Source organism: Homo sapiens, chromosome 14 (assembly GCF_000001405.40).
Source record: "Homo sapiens chromosome 14, GRCh38.p14 Primary Assembly".
NCBI classification, from domain to species: Eukaryota; Metazoa; Chordata; class Mammalia; order Primates; family Hominidae; genus Homo; species Homo sapiens.
In genome coordinates, this window is record NC_000014.9 from 103,196,111 (window position 1) to 103,211,590 (window position 15,480).

General features: G+C 49.7%; 1 protein-coding gene across 2 annotated transcripts; it reads right to left on the reverse strand.

Moving 5' to 3' along the window:
• Positions 1–84: 84 nt before the first annotated feature.
• On the reverse strand, positions 85–12,760 carry LOC124903391 (uncharacterized). Of its 2 annotated transcripts, none has more exons than XM_047432044.1 (2): positions 10,838–12,760; positions 85–365 (listed from the first exon to the last, which is right to left on the reverse strand). In XM_047432044.1, the coding sequence occupies exon 1, from the start codon at positions 11,905–11,907 to the stop codon at positions 10,981–10,983; it is 927 nt and encodes a 308-aa protein (XP_047288000.1). In that variant the 5' UTR covers positions 11,908–12,760; the 3' UTR covers positions 85–365; positions 10,838–10,980. The 2 variants fall into 2 exon arrangements, with proteins under 2 accessions (XP_047288000.1, XP_047287999.1); XM_047432043.1 differs by lacking the exon at positions 85–365 and adding an exon at positions 8,777–9,520 and having other exon boundaries at positions 10,752–12,760.
• Between the last annotated feature and the right edge of the window lie 2,720 nt (positions 12,761–15,480).

Below are 15,480 nucleotides of genomic sequence, written 5' to 3' on the forward strand. Positions count from 1 at the left end.
GTAAAGGAAAAAGGAACAAGGCAGGACAGCAAGGGATGGCTTTGTGGTAGCATTTTTTTTTTTTTTTTTTTTTTTGTAGGTCTATGTATTTGCTTCCTGGGGCAGGCGTTTACAAAGTGCCACAGCCTTGGTGGCTTCAACAGAAATGATTATCTCCCAGTTCTGAAGGCCAGATGTCTGAGATCCAGGTATCAGTAGGGGTGGTTCCTTCTGGGAGTTGGGAGGAAAGATCCGGTCCGGGCCCCTCCCAGCTGCGTGTGATCCGCTGGCAGTGTCTGGCTCCTGGCTGGTGGACACGTCTCTGCCATCCCTGCCTCCGTCTTCATGTGCTGTTCTCCCTGCGTGCATGTCGTTGTCCAAATTCCCTGTTTTACAAGGACGCCAGTTATAGTGGATGAGGGGCCCAACAACTCCAGTATGACCTCATCTTAACTAATGACATCTGCAATGACCCTGTTTCCAAATAAGGTCACATTCCGAGGTACTGAGGGCTGGGAACTCAACGTATGAATTTTGAGGGGATATGGTTCTACCTACAACAGTTGGTAAGGGAAGCCCCCTTTAAGTAAGTGACATTTGAACAAGAGGCCCCCATTCCTGACCCCTAAACCACTTCCAAAACTAAACTACTTGCACACCAGCCTATGGCCCACATCATAGATTCTGCTTGTGGAGGGGATCCGAATTTAGAGAGTACAGAAGTGGCCCTAAAAGGCAGAACCTCAGGGCAGGAGAGCACACACCCTGCAGCCCCACTGTCAGGACCCTGTTGCTGGGGGGAGTGAGCAGGTGCTGAGCCTCGGCCTGCAGGACAGCTGCCACGGCTCCCAGGGCGGATGACGATATGCACGTTGGGAAGTGAGGCCTGGGTCCATGTGGTAGAGGGGTGCTTTTTATTTTATTTTATTATTTATTTATGACAGAGTCTCACTCTTGTCGCCCAGGCTGGAGAGCAGTGGCACGATCTCGGCTCACTGCAACCTCCGCCTCCCAGATTCAAGCGATTCTCCTGTCTCAGCCTCCCGAGTAGCTGGGAGTACAGGCACCCACCGCCACGCCCAGCTAATTTTTTAGCAGAGATGGGGTTTCACCATTTTGGCCAGGCTGGTCTGGAACTCCTGACCTCAAGTGATCTGCTTGCCTCGGCCTCCCAAAGTGCTGGGATTACAGGCGTGAGCCTCCACACCCAGCCGGGGCGGGGGTGAGGGGAGTACTTTAAAAGCACTGAAGCAATAGTCAGAAGAACTGTGGGGTTGGCCCACTTAATGGTTTTAAAGGCCTCAAAATAATAATAATAACAGGCTCAAGTGAGCCAACTATCAATGTAAGACACTCTATGAGAGTCCGAAGCCTTCGGGGCAGCATGAAGAGCTCTTAGCTCTGCGGGTACAGGGTGGTTTATGATGAAAACCAGGCCCAGGAGTATTCACGACTCTGAATAATGTTCATTTCATCTCTCTCTTCAGCCATGTTTAATGTACTGTCTAATCTATTAAAGACAAACTATTTCTCACATTTCTGACACTAAATGAGGGGGGGGATGTCCCACACCAACCGATCATCCAACTCTCCGCACGCCAACTGGGTGACCTGCAATTCAATTTGGACATGAACTCCTGGGAGGTAACCCAGACCCTACAGATTAACGGCTCAGTCCCACCAGACCACCCCCAGTTCAGAAGCCAAGTGCACGTCTCAGCCTCTCATTTGTTTGTTTGTTTGTTTTTTAAAACTGAGTCTTGCTCTGTCACCCAGGCTGGAGTGCAGTGGCACGATCTTGGCTCACTGCAACCTTGGCCTCCCGGGTTCAAGCGATTCCCCTGCCTCAGCCTCCCGCATAGCTGGGGTTACAGACACCTACCACCATTGGTCCTCCCATACTCTGACCAACTGGCTATAAATCAAGGGTTCCCACGGCCCCTCCCCAGGTTCAGTAATTTGCTGTAGGGCTCACAAAACTCAGGGGTACACTTACATTGACCAGTTCATTAGAAGGCTGCAACTGGACAGTCAGATGAAGAAGTACATAGGGTGAGGTCTGCAGGTCCCTATGGCAGGGGCTTCTGTCCCCAGGGAGTCAGGTGCACCGCCCTCCTGACACGTGGATGTGCTCTCCAAACCCCTCCGTTTAGGGTTTTCATGGAGTTTCCATTATGTACATGGGCATGATTAACTTACTGACCATCAGTACTTAACTCAACCCCAGCCCTCTCCTCTCCCTGGAGGTCAGGTAGGACTGAAGGTTCCAGCCCTCCAATCACATGGGGGCCTCCTCTGCAGCCCCCAGCCTGCAGCTACCTAGGGGCTTCAGCCACCAGTCCTCTTGTTAACAGAAATTCAGCTATGGCTGAAAGGGGCGTGTTATAAATGTTAATGTAAAAACTAAACTCTGTAGAATGTTTTGCAGGGATTTATTCTGAGCCAATATGAGTGACCACAGCCAGGAGCAAACACAAACCCAGGAAGCTTTGAGTAACTGTCCCAAGGTAGTCGGATTACAGTTTGGTTTAACACATTTCAGGGAGGCAGGAGTTACCGGCGAAGACATAAATCAACACATGGAAGGTATAGGTTGGCACAGCCTGGAAAGGCAGGATATTTTCAAGCGGTGTCAGGGTGGGGATGTTATAAGGCACAGGAGCATTCGGAGATTCTTTAATTTGCAGTTGGCTGAAGGAACAAAACTTTGTCTAAAAACAGAGTTAGCAGAAAGGAATGTTTAAGGTAAGATGAGGATGCTGTGTCAGAGTCAGCCACCGTATACCAGGTCAAAAATGACCTAGTTAGCAAGATTGATGGCCTGCAGGAGTGACCTCATCCTTGTTTTGCAAGACCTTCGGTCCTGTTTGTAATTTGGTCTGTTATTGCACAAACAGTCTGCTCTTCGAATCTTATGATCTCTGTTTTAACATTAGCACTAGTCGGTTCTATCTAAACTGCAAAAGGGAGAGGTTTGAAGGAGGTCCGTCCCCTCCTGGCAGGAAACTCAGTTTTTAGTTTCTCTGGGGTCTCCTTGGCCAAGAAGAGGTCTGTTCAGTCAGTTGAGGGGCTTGGGATTTTACATTTAGTTTACGTGAATATCAAAAGATGCTCTTCTCATCCCTATCATTCAGGAAATTCCAAGGGTTTTAGATGCTCTTGGGTCAGGAGCCAGAATGAAGACCAAATATGTGATTTCTTTTCTGGGAAGTATTTATACACTCCTCCCTCGGTATCTGTAAACCATTGGTTGCAGAACCTCCCATAGTTACCAAAATCCACAGATGCTCACGTCTGGTAAAAGAAAAACTTTAGGCCGGGCGTGGTGGCTCATGCCTGTAATCCCAGCATTTTGGGAGGCTGAGGCTGGCGGATCACAAGGTCAGGAGTTCAACCTGGCCAAGAGACCAGCCTGGCCAATATGGTGAAACCCTGTCTCTACTAAAAATACAAAAATTAACCGGGCATGGTTGCGGGTGCCTGTAATCCCAGCTACTTGGGAGGCTGAGGCAGGAGAATTGCTTGAACCCAGGAGGCGGAGGTTGCAGTGAGCCAAAGATTGTGCCATTGCACTCCAGCCTGGTTGACAGAGTGAGACTCTGACTCAAAAAAGAAAAGAAAAGAAAAGAAAAACTTTAGGTAAATTAAATTTAAAAAGAAAAACTTTAGGCAAATTAAATTTATCAGTATAGGCTGGGCACAGTGGCTCATGCCTGTAATCCCAGTAATTTGGGAGGCTGAGGCGGGTGGATCACTTGAGGCCAGGAGTTTGAGACCAGCCTGGGCAACACAGTGAAACCCACAGTGAAACTCTACTAAAAATACAAAAAAAAAAACTTAGCTGGGCACAGTGGTGCATGCCTGTAATCCCAGCTACTTGGGAGCCTGAGGCACGAGACTCACTTGAGCCTGGGAGGCTGTTATCTTTGTTTTAAACTATAAACTATGAACTAAGTTTCTCCCAAAGTTAGTTCAGCCTACACCCAGGAATGAATAAGGATAGCTTGGAGGTTGGAGGCAAGATGGAGTCCTTTAAGTTGGACCTCTTTCATTGGCTCAGTCATAATTTTGCAAAGGCGGTTTCAATATTTGCATATAACCTATATACATCCTCCTGTATGCTTTATTTTATTTTTCGACACAGAGTCTCACTCTGTTACCCAGGCTGGAGTGCAGTGGCGCAATCTCGGCTCACTGCAGCCTCCGCCTCCTGGGTTCAAGCGACTCTTCAAGCTACTTCAGCCTCCCGAGTAGCTAGGATTACAGGCATGCACCACCAGGCCTGGCTAATTTTTGTATTTTTAGTAGAGACAGGGTTTCACCATGTTGGCCAGGCTGGTCTCGAACTCCTGACCTCAAGTGATCCACCCACCTCAGCCTCCCAAAGTGCTGGGATTACAGGCGTGAGCCACCACGCCCAGCCCCTCCTGTACACTTTAAATAACCTCTAGATTACTTATGGTACCTAATACATTGTAAATGCTATGGAAATACTTGTTATATTGTTTAGGGAATAATGACAAGGAAAAAAATCTCTGTACATGTTCAGCACAATTTTTTTCTACGTACTTTATCTTTTCTTTTCTTTTTTTTTTGGAGACAGGGTGTCTCTCTGTGGCCCAGGCTGAAGTGCAGTGGTGTGATCACAGCTTACTGTAGCCTGGAACACTTGGACTCAAGCAATCCTCCCGTGTCAGCCTCCTGAGTAGCTGGGACTACAGACATGCGCCACCACACCCAGCTAATTTTTAAATTATTTGTATAGATGGAGTTGCTATGTTGGCCAGGCTAGAGGTTTTTCAAATATTTTCCATCCTTGATTGGTTGAATCCACAAATGTGGAACCCATGGATATAGAGGGTCAACTAGTTATTTTTATATATTATAGTTATATATTAAAAAGAGAAAAAACTTGACTGAAGAGAAACCCCTGACTTCGGTGGCTCAGGAAGTTTACTGCTCCCCCACCCCACCTAATTCTTCTGTAAAACCTTCCAGCTCAATCTTCAGGAAATCCCCCCTCCCCACTATCCCCCTGATGAAGTGGCATCGCTGTCTGGAGTAAATACCCAGGGTTCATTGTCTCACGCCAAGAAGATTAAGGACATGGACATACATGAGGAGTGAGCTTAGGAGCAGAGGTTTAATCGGCAAAAGAAAGAGAAAGGAGAGCAGCTCTCTCTCTCTCTTGCAAGAGAGAGGGGGCTCCAAAAGGGAAAAGCTGGCCTGCAGGGACAGCAGCAGATTTTATAGTCCAGCTTGAGGAGCAGTGTATGATTCACGAAGGGCCCACAGATTGGTTCAACCAGGTGTGACATTTACATAGCATGTGGGGAAGGCTGGTCTCCCCACCCTAATCTTATTATGCAAATGGGCTTTCCACTTGGCCAACACCATCTTGCCTGCTTCTTACTGTACACCTGGCTGGCAAAGAGAAGGGAAGATACAGCCAACATTTTGATCATGCCTAGTTCCAGGTAGCCTTTTCCTATCGGCACAACTGCTGGCATTCACCCGTGCAAGCTTCCAGCTTGCTTGTCTATGTCTGCAGCTCGATTTTACAGGCTGCCCCTTGTTACAAAAGAAAATGATTTGGGGGCTTCTTTTCATTAAAAGGAAAACCTTACTGAGAACTTCTTTATCCTTACTATTTGCCTAAATAATTTCTTTTTAACCATATATCACTACCATGGCTTTCTGCAGGGTGTCCCCTATTGTGCTGGGAGGGCACATGGGTGGTGGAGAAGGTAGAAGCTATCAATTCTTGGAGAGGAAGGTGGGATTCAGGCCACCTGGGGGCTGTGGGGAGGGGAATGAGGCCTAAAAGATGCCGAAGTTTGCAGGAGGAGAGCAGGCTACCGCCCACATGGGGCTGTTTGTACTCTACAGGACTACGGAGGAGGGAAGCTTGGAAACGTGGCCAGTGCAGGGGAAAGTCAGATGATGTGGATGTTCCTGGGAACATCCCTCATCTGGTGACTGCTGGGAATGCTGACGTCTTGGAAAAATGTGCTCTGAGTGGTCTTCACAGTGGGCAGGCTCAGTGTACCTGGGCCTCCCAAAACGCCAGCTCTGAGACCCCTCCTGAGCAAGGACCCCTGGGTGGATTAAGCCTCAAGTATAGATTTCTTATGGTATCACAGCATGACACCTATCAATAGGTGTTTTAATTATTTATTTTTACTTTTTATGTATTTTTGTTTTTGAGACAGAGTCTCACTCTGTGGCCCAGGCTGGAGTGCAGTAGTGCCATCTCAGTTCACTTCAACCTCCATCTACCGGGCTCAGGTGACTCTCCTACCTCAGCCTCCCAAGTGAGTAGTTGGGACTACAGTCACAGGCTACTATGCTCAGCTAATTTTTCGTTTTCTTCTTTTTTTGAGATGGAGTCTCACTCTTGTTGCCCAGGCGGGAGTGCAGTGGTGCAATCTCCGCTCACTGCATCCTTGACCTCCAGGGAACAAGGAATCCTCCCACTGAAGCAGCTGGGGTATAAACCCAGGGTTCGTTGTCTCATGCCAGGAAAATTTAGGACATGGACACACCCAAGGAGTTTAGGAACGAGGTTTAACAGGCAGAAAAGAGAAAGAAAAGCAGCTCTATTGAGAGAGAGGGGTCTTCCAAGCAGAAAGACCAGCTGATGGCAGATGCGCCAGATTTTATAGTCCAGTTTGAGGAGGTGGTGTCTGATTTACATATGGCTCACAGATTGGTCTGATCAGGTGGGACATTTACACAGCCTTTGGGAAAGGCTGGTCGCCCCACCCTAATCTTATTATGCAAATGAACTTTCCCCTTTGCCGATGCCATCTTGTCTGTTCCTTACTGTACACATGGCTGGCAGGCAAGGGAAGATGGAGCTGCCATCTTGAACATGTCTATCCCCTAGTTCCTGCCTGCATTCACCCGTGCAAGCTCCCAGCTTGCCTGTCCATGTCTGGAGCTCAACTTTATGGGCTGCTCTTTTTTAGAAAATGATTTGGGGCTGCTTTTCATTAAAAAGAAAAGCCTAATGGGGGACTCCCATACCCTATCTGCCTAAGTGATTTGTTCTTAACTCCTATATCACCACCTCAGCCTCCCAAGTAGCTGGGACTACAGGTATGTGCCACTGCATCCAGCTACTTTTTGTATCATTTAAAAAATTGGGCCAGGCACAGTGGCTCATGCCTGTAATCCCAGCACTTTGGGAGGCTGAAGCGAGTATATCACTTGAGCTCAGGAGTTCGAGACCAGTCTGGCCAACATGGTGAAACCCTGTCTCTACTAAAAATACAAAATTTAGCCAGTGTGGTGGCACATGCCTATAATCCCAGTTATTCAAGAGGCTGAGGCAGGAGAATCGCTTGAACTCAGGAGGCAGAGGTTGCAGTGAGCCAAGATTGTGCCACTGCACTCCAGCCTGGGTGACACAGTGAGACTCTGTCTCTAAATAAATAAATAAATATTGATTTCTAGTTTTGTTACCTTGCAGTCTGAGAAATAAATCTTATTTCTCTTTTTAGAAATCAAGTTGTCTGTTATGTCCAATATACTGAGAAATAAAAATGATATCCTAAGCCCCAAGCAACTGAACAGACCTCCCCATCCTGGTCAAGGGGACCCCAGAGAAACCTTGAGTGCCAGGCCATGACAGGATGGGAGGTCAGACACGCCTGGTTCTGCCCTCTCCCTCTCTAACTGCCTTGAGGGTTTCTTCCCTGAGGGCTGAACAAAAACCACTGTGGTTCCAACCGGCCCTGACACTGGCCCTCCCTTTCACAGTTCTGACAAAACAACCGATCAGCATTCCTTCCTGATAAGAGACCACCAACCTCAGAGTGCTTGTGGCCAGTCTACAAAGGATGCGCAGGGAGGGTTATTGTGTCCTCTGCTTCGTCTTTTGTCATCAGGTAGCTGAAAACTCCACTCTCAGATCAGGCCAACACTGCCATTTTTTGTACATGCAACAGACTTATGAAGGGACATGAAGCTCAACTTGGCATGTGCATGTTTCTCCTTTCGTGAATATTCACAGCTCCTCCTGTAGCTTATTCAATATGTATATTCAGTCACCCAGCTCAGCATATATTTCTGTTCCCTTTGCCCCTCCCTCGAAGTGTTTGTTTCTGGCTTCCACCTGGAGGCTGTGCTTCCCAGCCTATTGGATTGCCACCCTGCAGGATGCAACACTTTATGAGAAATAAGGCTGTCCTTTCTTCATCATCCTTCAGCTGACAGTATAATCGAGATTCCATATTGAGGATGTTCTATGCATTATTTATAGAAAAGTACATTCTGCAACAGCCACAAGCACCACTCTTTGGGGAGGCAGGAAGTTCAAGCTCAGCTAGTATTGGGGCCCTGCCCCTTGAGAGTTGTGTTGGACTGAGGAAAGTTCAGTGATACCCCATGCACAGGGAGAGGGAAAGTGTGACAGCCCCACTCTCAGCTCAGGCAGGGAGGTCCCCTGAAGTCCTGAGGCATCTGATTCAGCACCAGGCAGAGGGTGGCAGAGTTCACTCTGGAAGACAACCCCAGAACTTGTGGCCCAGCCCCCACTGTCCCACAACCTGCCCCTTCACCCTTGAAATCAAGAACTAGCAAGAAGGCTGGGTGAAGTGCCCCAGCATGGTGGCTCACGCCTGTAATCACAGCACTTTGGAAGGCTGAGGTGGGAGTATCACTTGAGGCTAGAAGTAGGAGACCAGCATGAGCAACATAGCAAGACCCCATCTCTACAAAATTTAAAGAATGTAGCTGTAGTCCCAGCTACAGGCTGCGGTTGTTGTGGGAATCAGGAGACTGGAGAGACAGGTAGGTGGGACATGAGAATTTTATTGAGTGCACTCAGACCCAGTGGATTAACATCCAAAAACTGGGCCCAGAACAAAGACAGCACTTGACTCATATACACACCTTTGAACGGGAGTGGGCTAGTTTGAAACAAGCTTACAGTGGCATGAAAGCAAGGATACAGAGACAGAACATAGGCAGTTAATCAAATTGTGACAGGTGCATAACCCAGGGTTACATGTAATTCTTGCTATGCAGTCCAGATGGCTGTTATCTAGGCTTGCTTAAAAGAGCCTTGCACAGGCTTATCTCATAACCTTCGCTATGGGGCCCAGAAGGCCGCAGCCCAGGCCTGCTCAGGCATGTTGTATAACCTTCACTGTGCTGCTTAGATAAAACAGAATACTTGAAGTTTCTAGTTACAGAAAACAAGAATCTATAAATTCATAAAACTTGCAGAGCAAGGTACAATCACATGGAGGGGGTTGGGGTTCGAGGGGGAACTTTTTCTTATCCTTATGTTGAGGGAGTGCTGGGAGAGTCTCCAGAGCACACTCCTTTGAGCCTCTGCTTCTTTGATGATGTTATCAAGACTTCGTCTGGGTCTGGGCTTTGTCTGTTACTGCCTTTGGGATGAGTCAGCCTAATATAGAAAGCTTATTTTTCTCTTTTTAAAATTTTATTATTCTTTCTTTCCTTAATTTCCTGCCTCACAGTGAGCTATGATCACACCACTGCACTCCAGCCTGGGTGACACAGCAAGGCCCTGTCCAAAAAAAAAAAAAAAAAAAAATCTGTGAAGTGAGAAAGATGAAGGCCCATGGGAGGAAGGGGGTGGGGAGGCCAGAACCTGAGGACCTTCTTTTTAAGTAGGGTGGCCCCAAGCTGGCTTTGCCCGGCTTCCCAGGTTCATGCCCACTGTCACGTGAATGGGCACTCTCTCACTTCCGAAGGTGACCAGGTTTGGATGGTGAGTTTTGTCATCACTCTGCTCTTAGGCCATGGTGTGAAGTCATGACTTTATCAAGTAGAGAGGGCTTAAGTGGAGGAGGGATGGGTGATTTACATTTTATAAAGTGCCCCGGGGGCTGGAGGGAGCTAGAGTGAAGGCCTGGGTATGAGCGACTCCAGGGGGACAGGGAGGGGAGTACCCGTCACTTAGGACCTCAGTCTGAAGTTCCCTGGCAGGTGTCCCCTTCACCTGCCCTTGAGCCTGGGGGCCTCCCTGCCTGGAGAGGCCCCAGCAACCCAGCCAAGCCTGACCTTGAGCAAGGCCTGGAGGCTGGATCTGAAATGGAGAAATTCCAGCATTTCTCAGGTTGGCCAAGAAGAGATCAGGTTACCTTCTGGTCCAAAGACAGAAAGGGCTCCCTTTGGAAGGGGGAGCAGAGCCACAGCCTGATCTAGGGACCCAGCTGGTGGTCAGGCCCAGTATGGGTGACAGGCCAAGCAGGCCTGGCAGTTCCCTGGGCCACCCTTGAGCCAGGCCTGGGACCAGGAGCTGGCGGGGCTGACCCGGCACCAGGACCCCCAGGAGCAAAGGCAGGGCCCAGACAAGAGGAGTGCAGGAGGTAAGGGACTTGGAGCGTGCCAGGCCTAGACTCCCGGGATCCCTGTCTCGGTGGCAGTGTGGCAGGCCAGGTCTCACTAACGCAGGCCTCCATTACAACTGTCCCAGCACTGACTGAGTAGCTAGATTAAACATTAAAAGCTGATAGAGCCAGTGCCCTTATACAAAGGCTGGAAAGTAACAAAGAGCCCACCGAGAGTTTTGCCTAGGCCTTCCCTGGGCCTTAAAGCAGGACAAAATAACAAATTAATTCTTATCAGGACCCTTTTAGGGTTAAACGAGTTTTTTTGTGGGTCTGAAGAAGCTCCCCACGCCTCCAGAAACAAGTTTATTGAGGGTCTGAAGGCACTCCCCAAACCTCCTGATTTAGCAGGAGACAAGATAAAGGTAATCCCCCCAGCATCTGGACCCATTTAGATTCAGTAACCTTATTGAGGCTCCAGAGGAAGGTCTTCAGGACTCACAGATGACCGTAAGTTCATCACTAATGTCTTCAGATGCATGCACACTTACACGTAGACATACCGCTTAGAAGGTATGTAAGTTCTGGAAAACTGTAATTTTGAGTTGGTCCGGTGATCATTTCCAGGCCTTTCTCCCTGTAACCAGTTGCAGAAAATAAAAACGCTCTTCCTCCTCAGTTCATCTGCATCTCGTCATTGGGCCCCGAGAAATAGCCGCCCCACTCTCAGTTTGGTCCGAGAACAGCGCGACAGTGGAGTTGGAGCCGCCCCGGGCGGGATTAAGCCGGGTGGAAGCAAGTCCAGGAGACGCCCGCCCCTCCCCCGCGCCACAGGACTCGCCAGCCCCGCCACGCCCTGACCCCTCGTCTCTCCTCCCCTCCCCTCCTCCTCTTTTCTCCTCTCTTGCCCTCCCCCATCCCCTCCCTCCTCTCCCCTCCCTGCCCCTGCCCGGACAGTCCTGGTACGCCGTTCCCTGCGCTCCCAGGCCCCTTCCCCTTCCTCCTTCCCCTCCCCTTCCTCCCTCTCCTCCCCTCCCCGCCGCGTCCCGGACACTGCGGGCTGGTCCCGCGCCCCGCCAGGGCTGCCGGGGTGTGCTGCTGGGGAGCGTGACGTGGGCAGGACCACGCTGGACACGCAGTTCGCGTGCGGCCGCTCCCCGAGCAGTGCGCGGCGTGGGCGGAGGAGCGGCTCCGCGAGGAGATCGAGGCAAACGCGGCGCCCGCGCTGCTGGAAATCGTGGACGCGGCGGACGCCGAGCACCTGGTCACGCTCCAGGACCTGGACATCCGCCACGGCGACGGCTTCGCGGTGCTCCGGGGCGTGTGCAGCGAGGCCTCGTTCCCGGCCGTGAGGCCGCTGCGCGAGCGCCTGCGCGGGCTGTGGGAACCCGGGGCCGTCCTGCTGGTGCTGGTGGGCACCCAGGCCGACCGGGACTCCGAGCGCCAGGTGCTGATGGCGCGGGCCCGCGAGGGGCCCTGCCCGTTCCCGGGGGTCACGGCCAAGATCCAGCGGAGGATGGACCAGGTGTTCACGCTGGCGGTGCGCGAGACGGAGGCCCTGATCCCGCCCGAGGTGCCTCCCCGCCAATGCCCAGCACACGAGGCTGTCGGAAAGGTTCATTGGCTAATTTGCCACAGTTGGTTTTCAATATGTCCATCCCTTTTCCTGATTTCCAGAGCTCAGTATTTCTACCCAGTGCCTATTTATTTATTTATTTATTTATTGAGACAGAGTCTCACTCTGTCGCCCAGGCTGGAGTGCAGTGGCGCAGTGTCGGCTCACTGCAACCTCTGCCTCCCGGGTTCAAGCGATTCTCCTGCCTCAGCCTCCCGAGTAGCTGGGATTACAGGCGCCTGCTACCAGACGCAGCTGATTTTTGTATTTTAAGTACAGCTGGGGTTTCATCATGTTGGTCAGGCTGGTCTCAAACTCCTGACCTCGTGATCCGCCCGCCTCAGCCTCCTAAAGTGCTGGGATTACAGGCGTGAGCCACCTTGTCCGGCCCTGAAGCTTATAGTTTTTAATATTCTATAATTCCTGAAGTTTTCATAGTCTGCCTCTTTGCTTCTTATTTTTCAGGAAACAAGTTAGTAACTGAGGGGAAAAGCACCACGATCTCCCGGTGCGTTGTTTGCAAGAGTGCTTCAGCAGTCAGTGTCTTTCTTGTTGTTTGCCAGATAAAGATATTTTGTCTGCATATCTGCATAGCTTAACAGTAACTCAGGTGCTGACGTAGAAGTAAAGCATGTGAGAATGCTTTTGGATCATACACTTTTCACATAATAACAAATTTTTCTCGAATTGGTTTAACAGTATCGTTTTATGCTTTTTAAAATGTATCTTTGATATGAGTTGTTTGTCATTTGCACAAGTTAATGATTTTACCTCCCCAGCTGCAACATATTTTTCAAATTTAGGAACCCAACTTAACCATCTGAACATCCTTCTTAAAAAAAATAAAGAAGAAAGCTCACAACTATGCCTGTGATCTGAACTAGTTGATTTTGTTAACGGAATGTTATTTATATAGTGATGGTTAGAGAAGGCTCTGGTCATTTCTATTTATATTGTATGTGATGTTTTACTAGAAAAACAAGTTTTACCTTAACATGAAAAAAATACATTTTAGAACCTAATGGCAAGTTCACCTCCGAAGAGGGCTAGGCGGGGACTGTACCCTGGGTTTTATCTCTTCCTCTCCCTCCTAGGACAGGTTGGGGGTTGGGATGCTTACTTTTGAAGCTGGAAACCCGGCTGACTCACTCCCCTCCTGACCTCTGTCTTCTGGGGTCCCTCCTGGCAAAGCCCTTATTCATCTCTCTAAGGGGGCATATCAAATGTGGGGAGGGGCCAGTGATGGGTGGGGAGCATCTTCCTGGTCTCAGCTGTCGTTGTCCAGAGCTGCCCCCTCCTCCTGCTGGAGCAGAGGAGAAACACAAGTTTGTTCACTGTCTGGATTGGGCTGTGCAGAGAAAGCCCAGGGAGAAGAAACAGCCTCCTGTTCCCACCACCACGACAGCAGAGAGCTGGGCCCCCATGACTGCAAGCTGGGAATTCCCTTAGCCCCCACCCCAACAGTCCTGCCCTTCTGACTCTCCACCTGCTTGTGCTGAGGAGGGCCTCTGGAGAGGTTTTGTGTCCTTGGATCCCAGTCCTTCTGGATATCAGGCCTCGATCCAAGAAAACATTCCCAAATAGCCGTTTCTGCCCTTAGATTCCCTGGAGGAACTCAGACACTCCCACTCAGATTCAAGTTTTCAGCTTAGAGTGCAGTGGGTTTCTGGCTGACTAGTCAATGTCAGGGATGGCCAGAGCCACATGGCCAGCTCCTGTGACCTTGCTTTCTGAGTGAGCATGGACGCACACAGGCACACATGAAATTAAAGCCCTACATGCTGGATTGTCCTGCTTTTCCTGTGTGTCAAATTTCTAGACTTTGTATGTCACACACACATTGTCTCAGTCCCTCCAGAGGCAAGGAAGGCTGCAAGAACTCCAAAGTGAACTTGCCAGCATCGAATACAACCACCTGTCAGAGCGCTCGGGGACCTGGAGGCCCCATTCACAGCCGATGGACCTGTGGAGCAGGGGCAGGCTGACTTGTGAGCTTGCGGGTGGGCAAACCTCAAGCCCTCCGCTGTTCTCTCCTCCTGGCTGTGGGCTCTGTCTGCTCAGCACCACCAAGGAACGCCAGGCCAGGAATGAAAGTCAAGGAGGCTGCGACATTAATGACCCACAGTACGGGTGAGTCTTCTGCCTCTCCCAGTTATCCACAGACTTCTGACCAATGTATTTGGTTTCTATTTGTATTATTCAGATTGCTGCTGATACTGAGAACTCATGGGGAGGGTTTAAAATTACATGTGTTTTCCTTTTCTGTGAAATGTATGCTCCTTTTGCCAGCTTTGAAAATTTTGTGAACCACATTAACAACCCGTCTATAAAATAACGGGGGAAAAGGAGAGAAAGAAGATAGTTTCTATGTGTACACATCCACATAACAAGGAAGAAACTGCTCATGGCTGCTACAGTCCTTGTCTCTGAAACTGATCATGAGGCCATGGTTGATTTTTATCACTTATTTATTTATTTATTTTTGAGACAGAGTCTCGCTGTGTCACCCAGGCTGGAAGGGTGCGATCTCGACTCCCTGCAATCTCCACCTCCAGGGTTCAAGCGATTCTGGTGCCTCAGCCTCCCAAGTAGCTGGGATTACAGGCGTGCGTCACCATGCCTGGCTAATTTTTGTATTTTTAGTAGAGACGGGGTTTTGCCATGTTGGCCAGGCTGGTCTTGAACTCCTCCTGACCTCAAGTGATCTACCTACCTTGACCTCCCAAAGTGCTGGGATTACAGGCATGAGCCACCACACCCGGCCCATAGTTGATTTTTTTTTTTTTTTTTTTTTTTGAGACGGAATCTCGTTCTGTCACCCAGGCTGGAGTGCAGTGGCACCATCTCAGCTCACTGCAAGCTCCGCCTCCCAGGTTCACGCCATTCTCCTGCCTCAGCCTCCCCAGTAGCTGGGACTACAGGCGCCCACCACCATGCCCGGCTAATTTTTTTGTATTTTTAGTAGAGACAGGGTTTCACTGTGTTAGCCAGGATGGTCTCGATCTCCTGACCTGGTGTTCCACCCTCCTCAGCCTCCCAAAGTGCTGGAATTACAGGCGTGAGCCACCGTGCCCGGCCCATAGTTGATTATTAAATTGTGTAGTATAAGCACACATAACATAAAACTTACCATCTTAATCTTTTTTTTTTTTTTTGAGATGGAGCCTGGCTCTGTCGTCCAGGCTGGAGTGCAATGGCACGAGCTCGGCTCACTGCAACCTCTGCCTCCCGGGTTCAAGCAATTCTCCCTGCCTCGGTCTCCCGAGTAGCTGGGATTACAGGCATCCGCCACCACGCCCAGCTAATTTTTGTATTTTTTAGTACAGATGGGGTTTCGCCATGTTGGCCAGGCTGGTCTTGAACTCCTGACTTCAGGTGATCCGCCCGCTTCAGCCTCCCAAAGTGCTGGGATTACAGGTGTGAGCCACCGCACCCGGCCACATTGTTCTTTTTCAAGGTTACTTTGGCTACTCGAGGTCCCTTGAGAGTCCATATGAATTCTAGGATGGATTTTCTATTTCTGCAAAAACTGCCATTGGGCTCTTTGATAAGAATTGCCTTGAATCTGTAGATTGCTTT